The sequence below is a fragment of the Homo sapiens genome, chromosome 4, assembly GCF_000001405.40.
Source record: "Homo sapiens chromosome 4, GRCh38.p14 Primary Assembly".
Lineage (NCBI taxonomy): Eukaryota > Metazoa > Chordata > Mammalia > Primates > Hominidae > Homo > Homo sapiens.
In genome coordinates this window covers 85,588,353-85,615,648 of record NC_000004.12, presented here as the reverse complement: position 1 = coordinate 85,615,648, position 27,296 = coordinate 85,588,353, and the positions used below count along the sequence as shown (strand labels likewise).

General features: G+C 35.2%; 1 protein-coding gene across 1 annotated transcript in view, besides 1 other annotated feature; it reads right to left on the bottom strand.

Annotated features, from left to right (window-relative positions):
* ARHGAP24 (Rho GTPase activating protein 24) overlaps nucleotides 1-27,296 on the bottom strand; it is a 527,517-nt gene that overhangs the window by 387,018 nt on the left and 113,203 nt on the right. The window lies entirely within an intron of this gene.
* Nucleotides 4,889-4,948: an enhancer, noted in NCBI's record as "active region_21693". NCBI's record gives its function as "activates an Ori minimal core promoter by ATAC-STARR-seq in GM12878 lymphoblastoid cells {active_cell/tissue: GM12878}" and the evidence as "EXISTENCE:reporter gene assay evidence [ECO:0000049][PMID:35858748]".

The following is a 27,296-nucleotide window of genomic DNA, read 5'->3' as shown; positions in this document are numbered from 1 at the left end:
GTTATATATTCTCAATTAATATTTTTCTTACCAAAAATAACATCCAGCAATTTTAAAGACATATATGAGCTACCATACATGTCTCAAGTCAACTGAGAATTGTGGAAAAGATTCTGGCATCCAGCATGTATAAGCCAGTTGAGAAGCAACCCTTAGAAAATGGTACCCTGGTGAGACTTATTTATTTCCGCACAGGTAAGCTGAATATTAAATTACATTCATTATAGCTGAATATCAGTGAAGTCTCTCAGTGACTTTAATCACTGATAAAATTAATTTTATCTTTTGTTGTTTTAGGAGGGGTTTAAACTAAGACATGACTTACAGATAAAGAATATAGCAAAGTAAAATAAATACAATATATGTAATAAATCTTAGGTGAAAGAAAAGTAGGGTAGAAAAACAAAAAGGAAGATAGAAGAAGGTTAGTATACAAACTGCATGCACAAAATCTTGTGTGTTCAACCCAAATCAAGAGATAAATGTTTGGAAAATTTACTGTATTTATACAGCAAATATACACCTGATATAAAGGAAAAACACACCCTTTTAAAATGAAATTGAAGAGAAATTTCTTCTATGGATCATCTTGAGAAAAACTGTAATGTCAGACATTATATTTATATTAAATACAGTGACAAGTTAGTTTTCACAGACTTATTCTTACCTTTCTTGATATAGGCACATGAAACCAAGTCAAATTACATTTCAATAAAAACAATGTAATGATGAAGAAGGAGGACAATTTATAAATAAATATTCGTGTGACTCTGATGGCCTAGTTTAATCACAGGATCTATGAGCAATTTTAATAATGTCAGGGTTATATAGGATGATTACTATCCTAATATATGATATTATCAAAAGGAATTAATGTGATATTTAAGTATTTTAAGGCATTGAAAATTCACCCTGGGCCATTACATAAATCATTTATTAATTCCAACTGATTACTAATTAAGATGGCTAAAATCATTAGGCTGGGTTCACCAGAGCCATTTAAATCCAGCCTAATCAATGATAGGAAATATGGTCAATAATTAAAATATTTTTTTCAATAGCTTTCTTTCAGACTCTAAATTCTAACAACAAATATTCATAAAAACTTTTAAGAGTCAACAAATGTAAAGCTTAAAGCAGCTATTATAATACATAGGAAATTATGTTCTTTTCTGTATGGGAGGTACATGTGGATACCCAAGGCAATTCCTCTAGATGCGATCTCTGACTTCTTTCCCTACTAAGCACTAAATATATATAAATATTTATTAAAATTTAATTCTCACAATAACTTCAGGAAGTAGGTATCCTTTCCCCTATTGTACAAATAAACTAAGCCCAGAGAAATTACACAAGATGCCCAATGTCATACAACTGGTAAATGGTAGAGATCAGATGCCAGGCCATCTCCATAGTGTCTATCACTCTATTTCAGGAGAATAAAGAAGACATTTCGGGGCATAAGATTAATTTCTGTTTTCTTCTTGGAGACTGTTTTATGAACAGTGATGACAGAGTTCTTCATGTTTGTGTCAATTTGATCATCATTTTTTGCCAATAAAGTTTTCTAAAGAAAAGAATTGCATGCTTAAAAACATAATAAAAAGAAAATGAAAATTCAGATTTCTTATTCTAAGCTTGGCCCATTTGTCTTTTCTGTCTTCATTCCCTTTTGCTCCAAATGGATATCTCCTCAATTTCTCACAAGAAAAACAGTGAGGATAACTAGTTCTGATAACTGGTACTGAGACGTGAGGTACTACTGTGCCAAAAACCTAATATATGTATCACTGGCTTTGGGATCAGGTGGTGACCATGAAGCTCCTTTCTAGGAGGCTAGAAAAATGAAGATCCATTTAATGTATTAGTAATATGTTTGGTTAAAATAAATGCTGCCTGTGATAATTTGGAGACAGAAAATATACTTAGTAAACTTGTAAACTTAGGCAAGCAGGTTCCTGGCTAGTATATTAAAAATGTGAATAGGTTTCTGCTAGGTGTTTGGTAATATTCCCCAAAAAATGGACAAACTCAGCAAAGAACTGACTGGTTTGCAAATAGAATTAAGAGGACATATGGCGATCCCAGAAATGTTGGGCTTTGCTGTGCAGGAAAATAAAATTGTTTCTCATTCTTAGCCTTGCCAGTCAGCAAAACATCAAATTAATGGATAACCTGGAGGCAAAAATCAAAGCATATATATGATGTACATATGTATATATACGTATTATAATGTCTGACACCTAATAGGCATTTAATAAATTTAAGACTTTCCTTTATAACAGGACAGGGTTCATGCAATGGAATATTATATAGCAGTTAAAATGAACGAAGTACGTCCTAAATTAATCAACATGGATAAAATTCAGAAATATAATGCTGAGTGATGAAAGCAAACTACAAAAGAAGTCATAAACTGTGATATTTATTAAACTTTTAAAACATAAACTTAGTGTTGTTTATGGATATACATATATGCAAAGCTGTGCAAAGGTATACATTTGCACACACCAACTTCAGGATAGTAAACTGTAACTTAAAAAGGAAGGGAGACTGAGTGCGGTGGCTCACACATGTAATCCCAGCACTTTGGGAGGTTGAGATGGGCAGATTGCTTGAGCCCAGGAGTTCAAGACCAGCCTGGGCAACATGGCGAAACCCTGCTTCTACAAAAAAATACAAAAATTAGCTGGGTGTGGTAGTGTATCTGTGGTCGCAGCTACTCAGAAGGCTGAGGTGGGTGAATTGCTTGAGTCCAGGAGGTTGTGGCTGCAGTGAGCCATGATTGTGCCACTGCACCAGCAGCCTGGGTGACGACACAGCGAGATTGCCACAAAAAAAAAAAAAAAAAAAAAAGGAATGGAAAGGATAGGGCTTTAGCTGTTATCTGTGTATCTGTAACATTTTCTTTCTTTACAAAAATACTGTATGAAAAAATATGGCAAAATGTTAATTCATTAAATGTGAGTGGTGGGTATATGGGTATCCTCTAAATATCTTCTAAAATGGTTTATTCTTCTGAGTTTTTGAAACATTTCATAATTAAAACTAAAAATAATATTAAATAGAAATGAATAAAAAGCATTCCTTTTAGTATACAGCTTTAGATTATTTATTCATGGGTGAAGAATAAGATAATATTTAAATATGAAATTACGCATTTTGCTACTTGGATGCTTTTGCTATACATTGGTCTTTTTTTTTTGAAACAGAGTCTTGCTCTGTTGCCCAGGCTGGAGTGCAGTGAGGCTCACTCCACGCCGAGTGGAGTGCACTCGGCTCACTGCCAGCTCTGCAGTGAACTCCTAGGTTCACGCCATTCTCCTGCCTCAGCCTCCCGAGTAGCTGGGACTACAGGCGCCCACCACCACGCCCAGCTAATTTTTGTATTTTTAGTAGAGACGGGGTTTCACCATGTTAGCCAGGTTGGTCTCAATCTCCTGACTTTGTGATCCACCCGCCTCGGCCTCCCAAAGTGCTGGGATTACAGGCATGAGCCACCGCGCCCGGCAGCTATACACTGGTCTGTGTGTGTGTGTGTGTGTGTGTGTGTGTGTGTGTGTGTAATGTAATGAAAGAGAACCCAATTTATCCACATCTTTGCCTGACTAGCCACCAAAGAAGAAATATTACCCTAATTATTTGCACCAGTTATTTTTAAAGGATTCCTTGCCAGTGCATGCAGTCAATTACAACATACCCACTGGTACTATACAGAACCTGGAGAAAAGCACAGGTCAAGTAGGGGATTATAATTAAATATCTGAATGAAGAAGGAAACAACTTGTTTGCCACAGAAAGACAGGTTAGAGTTTGAAAACAAGATGTACTCACATTTTTCTTGCCTAGTCCATCAAGTTTCAACAAGCAAGCAGTACATATTTTCATCAGACATTTGCCATAGACTCAAAGGATCATCTTAATTTCCAGTCTTTCTCCACATTTTCTAACACAGGCTTATGTACCTGAATCATTTGCCTCATGAAAGGAAGGGATCGGGTTCATGGACAGAGGGGAAGTGGTGAGGACAGGGACTACTGTCGGACAGTGCAGGTAAAGAGTTAGTGATTTTTGTAGTATTGACTAATAAATCCAAACTTTTCCATAAGCTGAAAATTTTTTAAAAAAGAAAGTGCTAAACACAATTTCTAAATCCCTAAAAAATTCAGACACTTTTTTAAAGCTGTCATTTTTCTTAAGTGGATAATTGTCATGGGATCTAGTGGAGATACATGCTTTAATATTATGCAGTGACTGTCATTTATCCAACACTATGACAAAGGTGTTCCATGCATATTAGTTTATCCACACAATAACTTTAGGTTAGTCTATTTATTTGGAAGTTTATTGTTCAACTCCCTACATTTACCAGGTCACATTAGGAAGCAAAGGTTTTTTTATAATATAAAATATTCACTTATCCACTAAACTATAACATTAGGCCCCCTTCCAAGATGCTTCCCAGTTTCACATGTAGCAGTAGCACATAGCTGCAATTATAACTTGTTTCATATTAGATGAAATAGTTATGTGTATAACTCTATGTTTTTAAGATAAAAATCCTAATAAAACTTATTTTTTATTATTTACCATGAAATCAGGCTCTTTTTCAAAATGGATTCATGTTTTCCTATTTCCAATTTTCTTTAACAATAAACATCCTCTCTTCTATTATGATCATGATTTTTAGATGAATAAATTGATACCAAAAGGCAGTTTTTCTTTATTTCTTTCATATCTGTAGAAAACCACACCAAGAGCCTCGACAAATCCAGATCTAACTTACTTCAATATGCAGCCTAACTCTTCAAGTAAAAATGTAAGAGCCACCAAAATTGAGGCACTACTGTAGGAGGCCTGGAAAGACAATGAAGAGACAGTAAAAGGCTATTGGTGAATGTGAATGGAAACTTTGTGAGTTACTAGCAAACACAAGACTTTTGAAACTGGAAACACTTGTTCACCATGGTAGCAAAAACCACCACAAGTCAGAAATCAGTGTGACACTTTTTCCCCACGACGCTAGAAACCACCTTGAGATAATTTCTGATATAGTTTCAACTCAGCTTCACCCATTTCAGACCCTTTGCATTTTGTCTATTTCTGTTGGTGATTCTGAGTCAAATCTATTAAAATGTATTCATCTGGCTCAATAAGGGTGCTTTCTTTTTTTTTTTTTTTTTTTTTTTTTTTTTTTGTAGATGGAGTCTCACTCCTCACTCTGTGGCCCAGGCTGGAGTGCAGTGGCAGGATCTCGGCTCACTGAAAGCTCCACCTCCCAGGTTCACGCCATTCTCCCGCCTCAGCCTCCCAAGTAGCTGGGACTACAGGTGTCCGCCACCACACCTGGCTAATTTTTTTGGATTTTTAGTAGAGACAAGGTTTCACCGTGTTAGCCAGGATGGTCTCAATCTCCTGACCTCGTGATCCGCCTGCCTCCGCTTCCCAAGGGTGCTTCCTAAGGAATATGTGCTTCATACCATGGTATTCTACATTACCTCTTCATTTCAACATACTAATGCCAAACGCTCTGCTAGACCTGAGCAATAAGAAGTTGGCTCAGACTTAGTCTACACCCTCAGGGACCTGACACAAATAAACAAGTTCATTAAATTGTCTTATGCCCAATCATCACATAATCTAGAAATATCAGTTGTACAATAGTTAAAAATAGGGTAATCTAATGAGGTGCAGTTTAATAGCATTTAAACTGGAAGTGCCATAATGCTAAGCAATGAAGGATCTCTTTTTCAGGTCATCAAAGTATTTCATCATATATTTCAAAGTAACTATGAGAAAGAATTTTGAATATTTTTACAACAAAGAAATGATAAATGCTTGACATGATGGATATGCAAGATACCCTGCTGATTTAATCATTATACAATGTATATATCCATTAAGACATCACACTGTGTCCCATTAATATGTGCAATTATTATGTGTCAATTAAAAATGATCTAAAACTGTAAAAAAATCTAACTTAGTCATGAAGGAATGCATGGAGTTGCCTTCCCAATTGTGATAATGGGAAGAGCAGAGAAGGCACAAAAAACAAAGAAGCCCTTGTGTTAGAAAACAACTGAAGTCATTCCAGATTAATTAATAAAAATTTTATATGTATTATGCAAAACATATTAAAGGAAAATAAAATTGTCTTAAAAATCAGTAATTACTCAACTGATAGTGAACTTGAAACATTTTCAAAAGCAGTGATAAAAACTCAGTTCTGAAACAGAGTAATACTCTTATTCCAGAATATTCTGGGGGTACATAAAGGAGGATCAATTGGACGAGGACAGTGTAATGGAGGCATACATTCCAGAATAAAACGGAAACAACACTATTGCTCCTCCTGGCTAATGATGTTCACTAATTTCTCAATGAAGAGAAAATTCAGTTGATGGCAATACCCCATATATTCTATTTCTATTGTTCAGTTTACATTTAGCAAAATAGATAATTTTATAGGGGTCCCATTTCAGAGCATATTTATTCAATCCTTATTAAATAATAGCAAATTTATCCTAGCACTTTACTAGATACTAAGCATTTTAGAAACATAATGTATTGAATCATCACAACCATCCTTTGCTGGAGGTAATACTCTTACTCTTGTTTTACAGATGAGGAATCAGAGTCACAAAAAGGCTAAGAAGTTGAAGGTCACACAGGGAGTAGGTAGAGAGCCAGGATTCAAACCTAAGCAGCCTGTGCTATCTCTCTAACTAAAGAAAGTCCTCGGGTTTAATTATATTAATAAATTCATATTTAAAAACATTGAGTACTGGCTGGGCATGGTGGCTTATGCCTGTAATCCCAACACTTTGGGAGGCTGAGGCGTGCAGATTGCCTGAGGTCAGGAGTTCGAGACCAGTCTGGCCAACATGGTGAAACCCCGTATCTACTAAAAATACAAAAAAATTAGCTGGGCAGGGTGGCACGCACCTATAATCCCTGCTACTCAGGAGGCTGAGGCAGGGGAATTGCTTGAACTAGGAAGGTGGAGGTTGCAGTGAGCTGAGATCATGCCATTGTACTCCAGCCTGGCGACAGAGCAAGTCTCTGTCTCAAAAAAAAAAAAAAAAAAAAAAAAACAACCAAACAAAAAAACATTGAGTACTATCAACCAGGTACTATATGAAGCACAGGGCCACAGAGATGAACACTATTGTTTATGTTTATATGTAAATAATAAATACAATAAAGTCTCACAGAGACTAGGCTATATTTATAATGTCAGTGGACCACAAAGAAGTAGTGGTCAGCATGGAAACTGTTTGGCTGGTTGCCCTAACAGGTAACATTCAACTTGTTGCCTTTATTGACAAAAATAGAGATGCATTAGGTAATTGGCATCCTTAAAAAAATTCCATATTAGCATACCGTATTTATGTCTGAAAGTCTTATATATTACAACAGTCTCCTCTCCCTGTTTTATTCTTTTCCTCTTTTCTCTCTTTTCTGCCTTTTTCAATTCAATTCATATTTTTGAGCATACACTTGAATAAGACACTTTCTGCTCATTCATTATAAACAACATATTAGAATTTATGTTAAAGACAAAGAAGGCTCTTAAATAGAAGAAATCTTTAAAGAGTTTAGAAATTTTCATTCGCTCCTTAGCTTTCCCCTACCTCTGGCACATTTTGTGGCTTCTGTTTTATAACTGCAGACCCACAGACAGTTAGAGGCACACCTGTATAAACACCAAGGCCCAGAGATTTTCGTTGGTCTGCAGCCAGCACCAGGCATCATGCACTTTCATATTCTGTCTCACTTGAGCCCCATCAACACCTGAGGGAAAGCCCAAGACCAAGGGGCTAAACCCTGAGAAAGTTGGCACGGCGTAGCTATGGCTCCAACACCTGGGCTAAATGAGGAAGTATTTTTGATACTTCCTCATTTAGCCCAGGTGTTGGAGCCATAGCTACGCCGTGCCAAGTTTCTTAAAAAAAAAAAAAAGAAAAGAAAAGAAAATAATGCTTGACAGTTTTCAGAAACATTTCCTTCTTTATGATTTAAAATTCATCCCAGAGTGGCTGTGATATATGTGAATATAGCTAAATGCACAGAGAAATATCTGGGACAGATTCAAATGAATGAAATGTATTAATGATATTAGGGAAGGGGTACGGAGATGATTCCTGCATGATATTTTTTTAGTGACAACTGGTGACCTGATACCAGTGAAGTGTAAGATTGTGGTTTTCTTTCTCTTTCTCTCTTTTTCTCTCTTTCTCTCTTTCTCTCTCTCCCTTCCTCCCTCCGTTCCTCCCTCCCTCCCTCTCTCTCTCTTTCTTTCTTTTTGACGATCCTTGGTATTTTGGAAAATCTTTGTGGCTAAAATAAAAGAAACTTAAAGGACATTTGATGCAGAATACATAGCTCTCTATAGCGAATGTTGATCTCTATATCTCATTAATTCAGTTTAGGCAGAATGGAAATCATCTGACCATTCTGGCCCTGATACAGACTCTATTATTCTCATCCATGTGTTTCTATAGATAACATCTACTCCATCTCCAAAGGGAGAATGTCCTTAGATAGAGGGAAGTAAACTCAGGCCCTCTCTCACCAAAGACAAATCAAACTTGAGAGAACTGCAGATACCCTTCCACATTTGCAAAGCCCTTTCATAAAGTTCTAGCAATCCATGAAGGAAGTAAGGTCTGTATTATTATTGTCTCTCAAACTCTTCAAGTCTTTTCTTAAATGTCATCTGATCAGTCTTTCTCTGGCAATTCTTCATAAAGCAGCAATTATTTTCTTCCCTGGCTCCAGCCTTTCTTATTCCCTTGCTGGTTTAAGTTTTCACCATAGCACTTAACTCTATCTAGAACATTACACATTTATGTATTTATATAATGTCAGTCTCACTTGACTACAGTGAGAAGAGTGACTTTGAGTTGTTCACTGGTCTATCCCTGGGGCTTGGAATAGTGCCTGTCAGTTAGTTCATACTTACCCAATATTTGCTGAATGAATAAATATTGAATAAATGAGTAAATATAAGGGCTCAGAAGAGTGTAACTTGTTCAAGTAAGTTACAAAGCTAATTGGTAGTAGATTCTAGACTATACTTCGATCTTAAAAAATCTTTATCTTATCCTTTTTCTTTTCCTTTTTTTTTTTTGAAATGGAGTCTCGCTCTGTCGCCCAGGCTGGAGTGCAGTGGCCCGATCTCGGCTCACTACAAGCTCCCCATCCTGAGTTCACGCCATTCTCCTGCCTCAGCCTCCCGAGTAGCTGGGACTACAGGCACCCGCAACCACGCCCAGTCAATTTTTTTGTATTTTAGTAGAGACAGGGTTTCGCTGTGTTAGCCAGGATGGTCTCGATCTCATGACCTCATGATCTGCCCGCCTTGGCCTTCCAAAGTGCTGGGATTACAGGCGTGAGCCACCGCGCCCGGCCTGGCCTATCTTTTCCTTTATCTATGGAAATCCTAAATGCCCCTTTGAGGTCTGATGCCCCAAAGACTGAAGATATTTCATAAGGTGTTTGGCACATAGTAGGTATTCAAAACATTTTTTTGCATCTGAATCTGAATAACTGAGAATACCACCCATGACATAAATGTTGTAATTTTCCACTTGCTGAAAGTCTTTGAAATAACTCCAGTGGGAAGAAGGGAGATGAAGATGGTTCCTGAGGGGGTTCCAAAGAGAATCAGAAAAGGTCAGCTACCATAAATAAGTATAATTCTTGCAGGAATTCATCACAATCTCCATAAACGCTGATTACTGAACACACCTCCAACCCTATTGTTCCCTGTAACCTTTTCAGACTGAGATGTACTTTTTTGTTGTTGCTAAACAACACATATTCTTTGTAGAAATTGAGAAATGCACAGAAAAACACACAGAAGAAAACTTAAATCTCCTATATGTAATCACATTGAACAGAAAAAATCTATAAACATTCCCCTGTATATCTTCATTTCCACGATACACGTGTATAATATATTTTAAATAGGTGAGAGTTTACTGTACATAATGTATAGTATCAGCTTTTTAAAAATTTAACAATGACTCATAAGCATTTTCCATTTCATTGAGCATTCTTACATAAGTTTAAAGGACTACATAATAGCTCTTGTTGTATGAATGCAAGATAATCTATTTAATCATTCCCATATATGAAGATATTTTATTATTCCTATTTACTTATAAACAAAACCATGTTAACATCATGTAAGAACATATTTGTATACTTCTCTGATTATTTCCTTAGAATAAATCCACTTTTTTGGAATTGCTAGGTCAAAGAGAACAGACACTTGAGTTTTGAGGTACATTGTGGACTTCCCATCTGGAAAGAGTATATTAGATTAAACTCTAACTATATATATATTTCCCTAAAGCTATGTCAATATATTATGATTAAAAATACATTTTCCAATTTGAGAGACAAAAGTCATCTCTCATTTTCTGTAACTTTATTTTATGACAAAAATAATGTGTTCATTACAGAAAACATAAAAAATCTAGACACAAAAAAGAAAAATCACTTACATTCTAATACACATAATTAACCATTAACACTTTAGAGTGAATACATTCTCTCTAAAGCTTTGGTTATTTGTGTGTATATGTAAATGTTCATAGCCATAGATATAAGTACAATTAACATTCTAAAGTGAGGCCTAGTGCTGTGGCTTATGCCTGTAATCCCAGCACTTTGGGAGGCCAATGCGGGCAGATCAGGAGTTCAAGACCAACCTGACCAACATGGTGAAACCCCGTTTCTACTAAAAATACAAAAAATTAGCTGGGTGTAGTGGTGCAAACCTGTAATCCCAGCACTTTGGGAGGCCAATGTGGGCAGATCAGGAGTTCAAGACCCACCTGACCAACATGGTGAAACCCCGTTTCTACTAAAAATACAAAAAATTAGCTGGGTGTAGTGGTGCACACCTATAATCCCAGCTACTTGGTAGGCTGAGGCAGGAGAATAGCTTGAACCCAGGAGGTGGGGGTTGCAGTGAGCTGAGATCATGCCACACTGCACTGCAGCCTGGGTGACAGAGTGAGACCCCATCTCAAAAAAAATAAATTCTAAAGTGAGACGATACATCTATCTTTTTAACTACAAATATCATGAACATTTTTCCTTATTAATTATTCATGTAGAAGAACATTTTAATGGCTGCTGTTTAGTGTTTCAATATACAAATAGAATTTATCTTGCCAAGTGCCCTATGGCTGGTTACCAAAGTTAATTTCAATCATGTAATTTCAAGTTTACTTACTATTAAATAAAGGGATTTTTCATTTGTTTATTGAACATGGATAATTCTTTAGTGATTTGTCTCATTTAGATCTTGTTAAAGATATACTCACAGTTTTCTTCCAAATATTGGACAGCTGGAGATTTCTACAGCAGGCAGGATCAGCAATAGGCCAAGGAGGCACTTGTCACTTCAACATGCAGAGGGGAACATTACTGTAGTCACCACAGTTCAAAGCATCTCATTCAAGCCTAATGAGTTATCTAAGCCTGTTACTGAAAAACAGGAAATCTCAAATTCCAGTCCAGTTTTGACGTCATCAGTTTTTGCAGTCTAGGGCAACATCTTGTTCTACAGACTGCATTCTGCCCAAAGGACATGATAATTACTGACCTGCCTTTTCAGGACTTGCAAACATTTTTAGCAATTCTAAAAATACTGGGGAAGGTGAATGAGTATTCTTTTTGCTCATTACCAGGCAGCAACTTAGTCAAATAATAAGATATGCTGCTGTACTAATAAAAACTTAGACTTCAAAGATTAAAAAAAAAATCAACGCTTAATTGATTCAGAGAGCCTAGTCCATCATCCTTCAGTAACCTAATTACCTGACTTTGTGCAGACACATTAATGAACCATTAGTGCAATCTCATAAATGTATCACTAGCGCTTAGCACAGTACTAGAAACATATGAGAAACTGAAATATGAAATGAGAGAATGAATGAATGAATAAATCTTCTGCTATATTTACATCAAGTTTTCTAATATATGTCACCCACATTGTACTACTGATGACAATTTTGGTTTCAGTTTGACTGTCAGCTGAGGAGTGAGAAGCCTAGGAGCATTCTGATTCCCTTAAATTAGGCCTTAACTAGTTTCCTTTACACATCTAATATCTATGTATTAAAAATAAAGATGTTAAGTATTTAAATTTTCTTTACAAGGATGCTTTGGAAAACTTAAGAAACATTTTTATACCTATAATGTCATTAAATAATAAAGTTAGTAAGCTCTTATATGAAGGGAGGTATCAAGGATGGTAAGTGCGTCACAGCTAAGCTGCAACTGTCGGCAGCAGATAGGAAAAAGAATAACAGTCCCACTACAGGTGAATTTTCAAGGTGGTCAACCACCTCCATATGCTTCTAAATAGTCAGCACTTCAAATAAATAATCTTCACCAAAGACAATTTATTATGTGATTTTTCTTATCCCCCAAATTAATAGAGGACAAAAGGCTATGTTAATTATGTAAAAATCTAACCTTAGTTTCTTCTAAAAATGAAACATATTTATTTGTTTACTATGATTAAGCAGTTTATTTCCTCACAGTACCAAAAGGCAGAACAAAATAAATTGGCTGGTACATTTTAAAAAGCAGCATTTTGCTCATGTTACTGAGGGTGCATTTTTATTAGCTTGAAAGATAAAATAATCCCTAACATATTAGACATTAAAATAGAGCAAGTTAATGCAGTGAGGTAATCATGATTAATCAAAAATAAATCTCTCAGTGTCACCTTAAAATGCACATTGCAAGATTTTTCTCTAAAATCCAAACTGAAATTGCTTTTCATCAAGAACTGAGGAATTTAGAATAGGACGCCAAGAGAAAAACATTCAGAAATTGCCATGGTAGGAAGAGATAGGCCACTGTTTGATTCTCCAACTCAGCTGAATTAAAACCACTGAGAATTAAGTATGAGAAAATGCATTACATAATTCTGGACTTATGCATCCATCACTATTCTATTTCCTTTCATTCTTAACCTCTTAATTTGGAATCAGATTAATAAAATAATTTGAATATAGACTAATATATGAATTACCTGAGTTTAAAAGGTGGTATTGCAATAGGTGGAGAGGAGGGAATATCAAAATCATTACATTTTTTATGTGAAAATGTGTCTATGGAGCACCAATGATATGTCTACAGCTCCCTCCCAAAAACAGAATTATGCTTTATTGATTTATCCAATCAACACACTTGCCTGAGCACAACAAAATAGTTGGTGGAGGAGTGAATAATCACTCTATGAGCTTTGAAATCACCTTCTCTCAACTGCCACCCAAATCTGCTCTTAAATTTTTGCGTTTTAATCAGAATGCTGAGATTAATTGCAATCTGTGTGGTCATTAGCTTTGATTATCAGATCTAGCTTGGGAAATTACGTGAGATATGACAAATTTTTCCCTTCAAATACTGCTTTCTTTTTCATGTTCCATGCAGAGTTTTATCTATGTACTATGGTTTCCTTTGATCAATTAAAAAAGATAAAATTCTGGAAATAGCAATGTAAACATCTCCCTAAAAGCTCTATCACGCAGAAAGTCTCTGGCTATCTTCCGTAAGTCTTAGAAAAAACACTGGGCCTTTGTGGGCTGTTCACTAATCTCTGCTCTCTGTCCTTTTTCCTATGCAAGTAATAGTTCTGCATAATGACTGCAGTTGAACCAGTTTTGCCTCCTAGGAAATTTCTAGGCTCCCACTGTGGAAAGTTGGATTCATATGCTAATATTTTGTGGCTAGCAAAGGACAGTAGTCTTATTGAAAATAGTTTTGGAGGACCTGCAAACCCTCGAAATAGCTTTTCCAAGTGGAAAAATCATCACAGGGAAGTTATTTCCTTTTATGTTTACCTACTTGATAAAATATACTATAATATATTTTAATTAATTAATTTAAAATATTTGAATGAAACATTCCATATAGAAAATGCCAAAATTCAGTATACAATAGCTCACAATCTAGGTATTTTTAACATCATTAGTTGCATACTGTGAAAATATTTAATACAGTGGTTCTCAACTGGGAGAATTTGGCAACATCTGGAGAGATTTTTGGTTGTTACAACTGGGGGTTGCCAAGCATCTAGCGCGTAGAAGCCAGGGATGCTGCCAGACACCCTACAACGCACAGGACACACCAATAGCAAATAATTGCCCAGCCTCTAATTCCAATAGTACTGAGTTGAAAATCCCTATTTCAATATAAAGTTAGTTAAAGGGAAGAAGATGAAGTTGTTGCATATAATACCAGGAAAATAGTTCTCTACTAAACAGCTTTTGATGTATTCAAAATACCACAGTTATTTTCAAGTGTTTGTTCATTCATTCATTTACTTATTTAACAAATATTTATTGAGCACCTATTATACAGAAAGAACTCTAAGTTCCTAAGATTACAACCTTGCACAGAACAGTTATAATTTCACTTCCATGGTAGTTACATTCCAGTTGAGAAATGGAAAGCAATACAATAAATTAAAAATATAGACGTGAATAAAAGAGTGAAATAAAAGTCTCTTTAGAATGTTAAGAATAATTAATCAAAAATGAATAAAGTAAAAATATGTAACAAGTCATTAAAATACTGCTATGTTTTGACAAAACTGAGTATATTCTTTTGTCCTGTAAAAGTCACTCTAAGATCATATTCATCCTTTTTAGCCATCACTTGCCAATGAGACTTCTGGAAAAGAAAGTCTGATTTGAGCGTGCATTTTTACATTCTTTCAATAAAAAATGACCAAAAAGCAAAACGAAAAACGTTTTTCAAGGCATGCATCAATTTGAATACATTGCCCTGTGAATTTTTTGTTTTGTTTTGTCTTCATGGGAGTTGCTAAAAGAGTTGAATAAGCGTAGCATATTACGTATTCCTTGCATGAAAAGCATATTTATGAAAACCACATCATGAAAGAGAAGCAGCACAAGTTCTTCAAGTGAGTAGCTTAGCACAGAAATTCCTGGATTATGAAAATACTTTGCCATGTGTGATCTAAAATATTTTGTGGGCTTTTAGCCTTCCAAAGGAAGATACATGATTTCTCTAAGGCACATTAATACACACTTTATTCCATAGAAAAATTTGAATGTGCTGTGTCTTCTAGATCTTTTTCTTTGAAAGGTGAATGCCCCATCTCCCTCTTCTCACGTGGAGAACACAATGGCTTTCATAACTAGTATTCCTGCTCCTTTCATGCTCTACTGAAATCCATTCTGTACCCAATGTGCACAGTGAATTATTTAAACATAAATCAGATCATGTCACTCCCTTTCTTAAAACTCTTCAATAGGTTTTTCCATTACATGCTGGGAAAAAACAATATATCCTTAACAAGAGTCTGAATTACCTGGCCCCTGCCTCTAGCCACAGACTCTTCTCTAGCCCTTCTCACTGCAGTGAATCTGCTTCAGCCAAACTGACCTCCTTTCAGTGCCCATAACCCACTAAGTTCTTTGCTACCCCAGCGTCTTTGCACCTACTGTTGTTCCCTCCTCTCACCCTGGACCTCTCTACCTAGAGGAAATTTGCCAACCTATCCTTTAATTGTCTATTTCAGTACATGATTTTATTTTTCTTTACAACACTTAACATGGTTTATAACTATACTATTTATTTTTAGTTATTAATGGTTTTCCCAAATAAAATGATAGCTCTATGAGGCTCAAACCATGATACCTTATCCTAATTTGACTCCCATCATGAAACAAGTTATTTAGCACACATTTAGGGTTAAATAGAGATTATTTGAATGAACAAATAAAATAAATTTATTTTGTTTTAAAAAATAGTTACTTTTGCAGGCCACAATATGCAAAACATCTATAATTTCTGCAATTATAGAATTTATTAAGGAGATATTATGAAATAGTAAATACAAATAGTAGAGTCACTTTCACTTATACTTAAATTTTATATTTAGAATATGTGTTACATATAATACAAAAAAAAAATAATTTAATAGCAATTCATGTGTATTTCTCAGGGGAAATGTTTTCTTTCAATAAAATCATGAGGTGCCATGCTGTTACATCAACATCAAAGTGTGGTTATTAATATAACACATCCATCAAAAGGAAGTCACCTGGGTAAACAAATCAAATAGAGGTTTTTCTTCCAATAATCATGGATATTCCCAGAAAGTAAGGAGGCTTCTGCTCTATGGAACCTTTATGTAGAAGGATGATTTTCCTAGCATTAAATACTGATTTCTGTTATCCCAGAGAAGACATATACTATAATGGAAAAAGTATAAAATTACAAGATGAACTGAGCTCTGTTTCCATCTCAGCCACTTCTACAGTTCTGGCCTCTTAGACAGGCTGCTCAATACCTCTGCACCCCACTGTCCTCATTTATGAAATGAAGTGTCAGCCTTTCATATGTTTTAATACCCTATGCCAACTCCTTCTTCTAAACATCTCTCCACAGCAAGCTGCTAATCAACTCCTTCTAATCCCTCCTCTCCCTCACTGCTGGAGGCAGAGCAAACCATTTAGACTTGTGTTGTTCAAAGAGGTAGCCACTAGCTACAAGTGGTTATTGAGTATGTGAAATGTGGCTCGTTGAATTCAAATGTGCTTTAAGTGTAAAATACACATAGATTTTGAAGTCAGTACAAAAAGTAAATTAAAATATCTTATTAAGTTTTATATAAATAACATATTAAAATTAATATTTGAGATATATTCCATTAAGTAAAATATATGAATAAAATTAATTTTAACTATTTTATTCTTAATTAGGCTCCTGGGAAATTTAATATAGGGCTCAAAGTTATGACCTGCACTGTACTTCTATTAGGCAACTTGAGTTAGATAGTTTTTTTCAGTCTGCAATTACTTATTTGACTTGAGGAATATTGTAAAAAAAAAAAAACAAAACAAAACAGTGATTTCAAAAATTCCTTCAAATATTAATATCCAAGTTCCTAATAAGTCTAGGATCATATAATCAAATAGGATTATTATTTTGGGTCATGATTAACACTATATGAGATCCAACACTATTCAATTCCTTTATTGATCCTATTCATCTTATTATTTTCAAATAATAATTTCAAGATCCAGAATTCTCAAGGAATCATCACACAATGATCAGCTACTAAGAAAGAGTAAAAAGTTCACAAACACACATGCACTTTCAGCTCTGCCACACATCATTATTGTGATTTGGGAAGAGAAATTTACCCATTTGAGCCTTTGTTTTCATAAATAAAATGAAAGAGAGGGTGTTAAGAGAAATGTAAATTAATCACCCTAAATCTGGTATATCTAAATGTAATGAGTAATTAGAATGGGACATAATTATAAAATATGACAATAGCAACATATTTGGACTATTTGAACTCTTCATATTTCTAGACCTTCTATCTATTTATTAATTAAATGGAAGACAGCTAAAATTTTACTTCTTTTAAAAAGAATTAAATGAGTTTCTAAAATTCAAAAGAAGAACTGATACCAAGTTCATCTTTTGAGAAGTCATGATGTTTCTATATTTTTTTGCTTTATAGTGTGGCTGCATAATGAATAGTAAGACTTCTTATGATATACTAAAATTTAACGTATCCATCCCTTAGGATAGTTTGAAATAATTCTCCAAGTTAAAGTGAAGGATGAAAGGTGCATTTGATAATGTCCCAAGTGTCATCTGAATTGTAACACTACCATTGCATGTTGTAATTTCAGATTTGCAAGTCTTCAGATATCTTCACTGATATTTTAACTGGGAAATTTGCTCGTTTAATTTCATCTGTTACATCTGACTTACTCTAGGCTCAACTGATAGAATATTCTGAAAGTTAATTTCACATACTCTTTAAGATTCTCTACTTTTCAACCTGTTGAAGCAACCATTCCAAATGGAAATATCAAGGTATTTACAATAATGGCTATAATAAAAGTACCACCTATTTAAATATGTAACATTCTCATTAAGCAAACATTTATTTAATGTCTCCCAAATACCAGTGTCTAGTCAGAAAAAAAAAAAAGTTGCTGCCCTAAAGGATTATAAATGTTATATTTTCAAAGAGATTCTACGTAAAACAGATTCTAAGATCTTTCCAGTAGCCATATGACTGAGAATAAAGGTCCCAAACACAGACAGACTTGGGGGATAGGTAATGTTCTTTTTTGCACCTTACCCCTCACCCTTTTCAGCAATTCCTACCCTCCTTCCCCATCCGTCCCTCTAGGCATCACTTTGCTCTTCTCCAATAATGACCTGGTTTTCTCAAGTAACCACATAACTCGAAGTAAGCATTTAGCTGTCAGCCCTTAGACACAGTGGAAAGGTGTGGGTGATATTTGATGGAAAGGAGGAGAATTTGATTAACTCCCTATAAATGAAGAAAGCAAAATCAATAAATTTATCTTTTATGTTCCTGACAACCAATTCATATCAATAAAACCAAACCTTACATCTTAAGATTGGTTAAAGAATACTTTCTAAGCTTGATTTCTAACATGTAATTTATTCATGAAAGTAACACATGTCTACAGAAAGTATATGTTGAAATACTAAGGATAATAATGAAAACTGAAATCTTTGCTTTTGAAGAAACAGCATTTTTCAGTGACAGACTGAGTACACTGCATGAATCTGTTACTTATTGTTCCTTTAATGTGGATATCTTCTTTTTGTTTACAAACGATGGATTTATATGTTTTTAAAGTAATTTTTTTTAAAAATATATTTGGACTTAAAATATTATGATATCTAGTTAAATAATGAAACAAAATATGGACATTTTGAATAACGTTGAAAAACAGTAATGGTAAACTTGAAATTGGATCCCATACTCCTAATTGTGTAGTAAAAAAATCTAGTTATCAAATGATGTAATAGCTTCTTTTTTTAGAACACCTAGGGAAAATTATGGATATTATGTTGAACTGTTTTATATACAAATATTATTCCATTTGTATTTCAGAAGAGTATGCAGGATTTCAGTCCCTTGGATTTGCCATTTTGTGTTTCAGAAAAGCTGGTCTTAAAACTGGGAGACAATTAAGATTATGGGAAGAAAACACATACAGGATTTTAACTGCCTTTTCATAACCACTGGCATCTCAAGCTAAGCCAGAAAAGAATTCCTTGAACCCCTGAGAAGGCTCCATCTCTTTTCTCTTCTCTTACCTCATCCAGCACTTACACAAACATCACTGGAACAACAACACTTTTTATGGCAGACAAAGCAAAAACTGGGAAATGTCACACACATGAGTTGTTTTTGAACAACTGCTATATTATAAAGCTCAGACCTTGACTGCTGATCTCTTTGGCTGCCCACTCTCCACTTCATGTTTGACCTTCAATGCTGGCACAATTCTGGCTCCATTCCCCAAAGCATAAAAGATAGCAAAGTATGTAGAAATCCTTGAGATAAAACTGGACTCATAAAACTGCATTGCTATTTTCTTCAAAGAAAACTAAAGCACATTTCCAAGCATTATTTGGTTTCTACTCATCATATTCCATTCTGTTTATACCAAAAAGCTTTGCTGGGTTACCAGTAACAATACTAGATAGGTAAGAAAAATCATTTTCATGTGCAAAATAATATTTCCTTTTAAGTAACATGTCATCAGCTCCCTGATGAACGTATCTACATGCATCCTAGGCATTGGCATGCAGATAGGAGCTGGAGATTGGAGCAGAGTCAGTTCTTAGCAATAAATCAGACCAAGGGACTTTTATGTTATCTTTTAGATCATCATTACAAAGTCAACCCTAACATTTTGCTAATTACTATAGTATGACCAATCAAATAGAGCCAGTCTTATGGTGATAACCATACCTAGCATTAGTTATCAGACTCCTTAGGAAGTGAATATAGTTTATATAATTCATATAATTCACATGCTACACCTATCTTTGGGATTTTTTTGTCATTACGTCAGTCTCCCTGAAATCATCCTGGGAAGCTTGTTTTCATTTTCCCCCTTCTTATCTTATACTTGTTTCATAAGTCTTATTTGTATTTCTTCACCCATCCTGGTTATCTAACAGCATCTTTCCATTATGTTCCCTAAAGTCTTTTACATAATCCTCAAAGGAAAAGAAGGAACTGATTTTGTAATTCGGTAGAGATATTTTGCATTTATGAGCAAATGCTACACACTGAAGTTCAGCGAGAAATTAGACCATGAATTTCAACATAGGTAAGCTTGGCTTGGTTCTTTAAAGGAAGTTTGCCACTTTGCCTCATGCCTACCAGATAACTATAAATACCACCTGACTTGTTTATAGTTGAGTGCTTTATGTTATCACTTTCTAGGAACAAAACGAACTGAGCGCAAAACAAACAGAATGTACCCTTGGTCTGCCAAGAGATACTCATTTCCGACAGGAACTTCTACTGGGTCTCTGCATGGAAAGGAACTTTCCAATGCCTGATATGTTCCATCAACCTGAGAAAGAGGTTGTTCTCTTACCATGTTTGGTTTATTAGTTCAATATATACTGAGTTATTGGATTGGAGGGAAGTTCTCACATTGTGAAAAGTCTGTTCAATTCATAGGTTACATTATTTATCCAAGCCTGGGAGAAAAGGGAAAGTAGGCTGGGGTAAGCATGGATGTAGAATAGCAATATGGTGAAGGGAAGAGAGCAAGACTGTTACAAAAAAAAAAAGAGGAGAAAGTGAATAGGATTGCAATGTTTGTTGGTTGAGTCACTGTACTTAAATTCATTTTTCTAAATAGACTACATTACTTCCCTACATGCAGAAACATTGAAGAAAAAATTGGGTTTTGTCTAGTCTCTTTTTCACCTCATACGTAGTTAGATAAATTTTAAACAATATTTTAGTTATTTTTGTTTTTAAATTTAAAGACATTGGTGAATGAACTAGCAAAATAATGTAGGTGATTTTTATGGGGCTACAAAAGACTCCTTGTGCCACATACTGTAGAAAGAATAAGTCACTATTGCTTTCTGAGGCACTCTTAGTGTTTTTATTCCTTGATTCAAAAGAGATGGACAGAAAGTAAGATTCCCTTTTTTTATACTAATTAGAAGGCAATTCAATGGCTTTTGAATATAATATTGTGATGGCAGATAGGTATCATCTCTCCTTCTAACTTTGACCAAGTTTTTGCAGTCAAATAGAATGCTATGTTGTGAAGGATTTCAAAGTTCTGGAAGTCCTAGTTACAGCGATCAGACAAGAGAAAGAAATAAGGGGCGACCAAATTGGAAAGGAAGAAGTCAAATTATCCTTGTTTATAGATGATATGCTCTTATGTTTGGAGAAACAAAGACTCCACCAAAAAACTATCAGAACTAATAAACAAATTCAGTAAAGGTGCAGGATACAAAATCAACAAACAAAAATCAGTTCTGTTTCTGTATGCCAATAGTGAAAAATCAGAAAAAGAAATCAAGAAATTAAGCCTATTTACAATAGTTATAAATAAAATAAAATACCTATGAATTAACTTAAGCAAAAAAGTGAAAGATTTCTACAATAAAAACTATAAAATACTGCTGAAAGAAATGAAAGAGGATATTAAAAAAAGGAAAGATCCCATATTCACAGAATGGAAGAATCAAAATCGCTAAAATGTCCATACTACCCAAAGCAATCTACAGATTCAATGCAATCCCTATAAAAATACCAATGACATTCTTCACAGAAATAGAAAAAAAATCCCCAAATTTATACAGAATCACAAAAGACCCGGAATAGCCAAAGCTATTCTGAGCACAAAGAACAAAACTGGAAGAATCACATAACCTGACTTCAAATTATACCACAAAGCTATTGTAACTAAGAGAGCATAGTACTGGCATAAAAGCAGACATATAGACCAGTGTAACAGAATAAAGAACCCATAAACAAATCCACACATCAACAGTGAGCTCCTTTTTGACAAAGGTGTTGAGAACATACATTGGGGAAAGGACAGTCTCTTCAATAAATCATTCTGGGAAAATTGGATATTCATATGCAAAATAATGAAACTGGACCCCCATATCTCACCGTATACAAATCAAATCAAAATGGATTAGGATTTAAGTATAAGACTTCAAACTATGAAACTACTAAAAGAAGTATTGGGGAAACTCTCCAGGACATTGGACTGGGCAAATAATTCTTGAGTAGTATCCCACAAGGATAGGCAACCAAAACAACAATGGACAAATGGGGTCACATCAAGTTGAAAGGCTTCTGAACAGCAAAGGATACAATCAACAAAGTGAAGAGACAACCCACAGAATGGGGGAAAATATTTGCAAACCACTTATCTGACAAGGGGTTAATAACCAGAATATATAAGCAGCTCAAATAACTCAATAGAGAAAAATCTAATAATCCAATTAAAATGCAGGCAAAAAATACCTGAATAGGCATTTCCCAAAAGAAGACATACAAATGGCAAACAGTTATATGAAAAGGTGCTCAACATCATTGATCATCAGAGAAGTACAAATCAAAACTACAATGAGATATCATCTCACCAGTTAAATTGGCTTTTATCCAAAAGACAGGCAATAACAAATGGTGATGAGAATGTGGAGAAAAAGGAACCCTCATATGCCATTGGTGGGAATGTAAATTAGTACAATCACTATGGAGAACAGTTTGGAGGTTCCTAAAAAACTAAAAATAAAGCTACCATATGATCCGTTAATCCCATTGCTAGGTATACAAAGAGATATCTGCACCCCCCATGTTTATTGCACTGTTCACAATAGCCAAGAATTGGAAGGAACCTAAGTGCCCATCAACAGTTGAATAGATAAAGAAAATGTGGTATGCAATGAAGTACTATTCAGCCTTTAAAAAGAATGACATCCTTTCATTTGGAACAACATGGATGGAACTGGAGTTCATTATGTTAAGTGAAATAAGCCAGGAACAGAAAGACAAACTTTTCTTGCATATTCTCTCTTATATGTGGGAGTTAAAAATTAAAACAATTGAACTCATGGAGATAAGACAGTAGAATGACTGGTTACTAGAGACTGGGGAGGATAGTGGGGTCAGGGAAGTGGAGATGGTTAATGTGTCCAAAAATATAGTCAGATAGAATGAATAAGGCATAGTATTTGATAAGACAAGAGGTGACTATAGTCAATAATAATTTAACTGTAAATTTTAAAATAACTAAAAGAGTATAATTAGATTGTTTGTAACACAAAGACAGGATAAATGTTGAGGTTATGGATACACCATTTAAGCTGATGTAATTATTACACCAGAATTATTAAACCAGAATATATAAGGAGCTCAAATAACTCAATAGAGACAAATCTAATAATCCAATTAAAATGTGGGCAAAAAATCTGAATAGGCATTTCCAAAAAGAAGACATACAAATGGCAAACAGTTATATGAAAAGGTGCTCAACATCATTGATCATCAGAGAAGCATTCATCTTGTATACTTGTATCAAAATAGCTCATGTACCCTATAAATCTATATTTCTACTATGCACCCACAAAAATTAAAAGTTAGAGAAAACAAAGTTCTTTGTCAGGCCAGTGGGGAAGGAGTGCTAGGACAAAATAGGCAAGTCTGCTTTAAGAGGGAAGGAACAGTGGGAGTCACATCTGACAAATCCAGCCCAAGGTCACGGGTCAGATTATAGAGCCAGAGGTTTTCAAAATTGCTTTCCCTTCTGCCATGATACACATAATTGGTAGTATGCTAACAATAACAAAAATTTGTTATTGTGGTGGTGTGGGGAGTGTGGTTGGTTGGCTGTGGTATGGTAATACTATTAACAAACATTTACATCATATTTTCTGTATGCCAGGTACCATGCTAAGTGCTTCATACATAGCATCTCATTTAATCCTCACAAGAATCCTTTGACATAGTTTTGACTTACCCTCACTTCCCAGAACTCTAAATCCACTTCCCTCCTTTTCCCTTGCAATGAAGAAAATGTCAGAGTGCACGTGAGTATTACAGGGATAATCTTGAGCCGCTGCAATTTATAAAAAGTAAATCTTTCTCAAGCTAATACTTTAACTAATGACTTGTGAATTTATGTGACTTGTGACTAATGGCTTGTGACTTGTAACTAATGACTGTGACTTGTAACTAATGACTAAGTCTGACACAAGAGTATGTTGACATTAGAGTTGAGCACTGCAGTATTACACTTTGCTATTCTTGTTTCCCAGACTCACTCCCTAATTCCAAACTAAATGTGATGGAAATGTGTGTTTCTGATAAAAGTAGAAAGCAGATGAGCATTGGTAGATATGTGATTACCAATCCCCCAACCATGCAAGAAAATCTGTTAAAAAGGCAGATCTAGTCGGGCATGGTGGCTCACGCCTGTAATCCCAGCACTTTGGGAGGCTGAGTTGTGTGGATCACCTGAGGTCAAGAGTTCCAGAGCAGCCTGGCCAAAGCGGTGAAGCCTCATTTCTACTAAAAATACAATAATTAGCCAGGCATGGTGGCGCCATGCCTGTAGTCCCAGATACTCAGGTGCCTGAGGCAGAAGAATTGCTTGAACCCGGGAGGCAGAGGTGGCAGTGAGTTGAAATTGTGCCATTGCACACCAGCCTGGGCTACAAGAGCAAAACTCCATCTCAAAAAAAAAAAAAAAAAAAAAAAAAAAAAACCCAGCAGATTTTACAGGTTAGTGCTGCATGGGAAAGGCATTATAAATAATTTTTGTACAGCCTTTCATTTTGCAAATATGAAAACTAAGACTGATGGTTTTAATTTATATTTGACTACTCTTTATTTTTTTCCTGTACATATTTTTAAAAGTCATGACAAATTTCTTTAAAAAGTGAAGATCCTTATGTTAAATTTTAAATAAACAGATATTTCAGTCTACTTAAAAGTACAATAATAATTTTGATGAAAGTTTTGGGGAGTTTTCAGTAGTAAAATTAGTTTTACTATAAAGTATGTTCTTTTGGAGGAAAACCACGGCAGACAGAAAGTACTCAATGAGTGTTTATTTTAATTAGAAAAAGAAGGAAAGGGTCAGGTGTGGTGGCTCACACCTGCAATCCCAGCACTTTGGGAGGCCAAGGCAGGTGGATCACCTGAGGTCAGGAGTTCAAGACCAGCCTGGCCAACATGGTGAAACCCCGTCTCTACTAAAAATACAAAAATTAACTAGGCGTGGTGGCATGCACCTGTAGTCCCAACTACTCGGGATGCTGGAGCAGGAGAATCGCTTGAACCCAGGAGGCAAAGGTTGCAATGAGCCGAGATCTCACCACTGCACTCCAGCCTGGGCGACAGAGCGAGACTCCATCTCAAAAAATAAAATAAAATAAAATAAAAAATAAAAAGGAGGAAAGAAGAAAGGGAGAAAAAAAGGAAAGGAAGGGAAGGGAAGGAAAGAAGGAAGGAAGGAAGGGTGGGAGGGATGGAGGGATGGAGGGAGGTGGGAGGAAGGAAGGAAGGAAGGAAGGAAGGAAGGAAGGAAGGAAGGAAGGAAGGCAGGCAGGCAGGCAGGCAGGCAGGCAGGCAGAAAGAAAGTTAGTTTTCTCATTCCAAACAAATTAACATTTCATTTACATTAAACAATCATTTGCTAAACATTAGCATCTTTGTGTTACGAATTCACTGTCTTGTGATTACACAGTAAGTATTACTTTAAGAACAATTTCCTTTTCTTCTAAAAGAGGGATAATCTAAATTAACATGCAAAATGCACATATTAGTAATTAGTCAAACAAAAATGTGGATGGCATGAAAATTTGCAATGTGCAGCAATGGCTTTGAAAAATATCAGATCCAACTTCCAGACTTATAATTAAGAAGGAATTATTTTGTAAAATAAAAAATCCATATTTTATTTTTAAACTCTTGAATCTATTTTGAAAGAATTCTTTAACATATAGGATTAGTATGTACTGCACATATTTATTAAAGTATTTTGACCTAATGGCAGATGCTCCAGCCAAAGAGATCTCTCTAGCTATATCCCAAGAGGAATTATTAGTTTCAAAAGAAAGGACCCAAAGGATAGCTTGATATTGGGAAGCGAAGGAAACAAAAAATATATCTCTGGCCGGAGATGTAGAAGATATTAACAGGAACCAGACTCATTAATTACCTAGTAAGTTTTCAGGCATGGTCCCAAAATGGTCACTACCATGATTACATGAGAAAAAGAACTTACTCAAATATTAATTGTAACAAATAAAAATTCCTGTCCCTAGTCAAGTCAATCAGTCCTACCATCTCCTATCCTCTGGCAAGTTGTGTTTTTTGTTTGTTTTAGTTTTGTATATGTGTGTTAAAAGGCTAAAATAATGAATGACATATGAATAAAATACACATTTCAAGAACTATCAAAATTTCAAGCTAAAAGAAACATTAGATGTCAACCCAATGCAATCTTCTACTGGTTTAAGATGAGAAAATGAGGATCCAGAGTCATTAACTGGCCAGGCTTTAGGTGGCAGTTAGGACTAAAATCCACTGCTAGGACTCTGACATCGGCCAGATCACAATTCTGTTTGTTATCAGACATAATTCACCTACATGCAAATACCCACAGAAGCTTCACTCTGCAAAACTATAAGGAGGTGGTGAAGTTTACAGAATCTCTATTCATTATATGCCCACATCTCTGAGGCCCAATGCAATTTATTTTACAAAGTTGTCTTCACCTACAAGTTTCACCTTGCAGGTGATTTACCTCTGAGAATATTATCTGATGGCCTTTAGAGAGGAGCCAACTTTTTATGCTTCTCCATTTCAAGTCAGTTCAACATTAAATTAGAAACTTCATGGAGCAGAAAGAGTGGTTTAGTATTCAGGGTACAAAGTCTTCAACAATAACTGTCTTCATACTCTTCCTATGCATGTTAGAAACTTTGTATTGATAATAAAATACTAAAATTGTTGAAATCTTAGAAATCAAATAAAAATTTTGTTTATTTTAAACTCTTAATTACTTATTTAAAACTATCTCAGAAAGAAAAGTAGAAGTCAATAATATATACTTCTCTGTAATGAATTTCTTATCATCATTACACTTTAAAGAATCAGATGCCCACGTCCAAAATGAATTTATGGTACTTCTTCAGTCCATAGACATTAATTGAGTGCATACTGTGTGCACACAATGTGCTATATGAGAGGGTCCCTGGACTCAAGGGGTCACAATAAGACAGGCGAGCTAATAGCGACCTTACATGAAAAGTGCTATCAAACAGATATTTGCAGGACTCAGAATTCAGATGAGAAAGCCACTAATTTCCACCCCCATCCTCCAGGCTGGGCAGAGAATGAAGAAGGGAATCATGGAAGGGCAGAAAGGCATGAAACA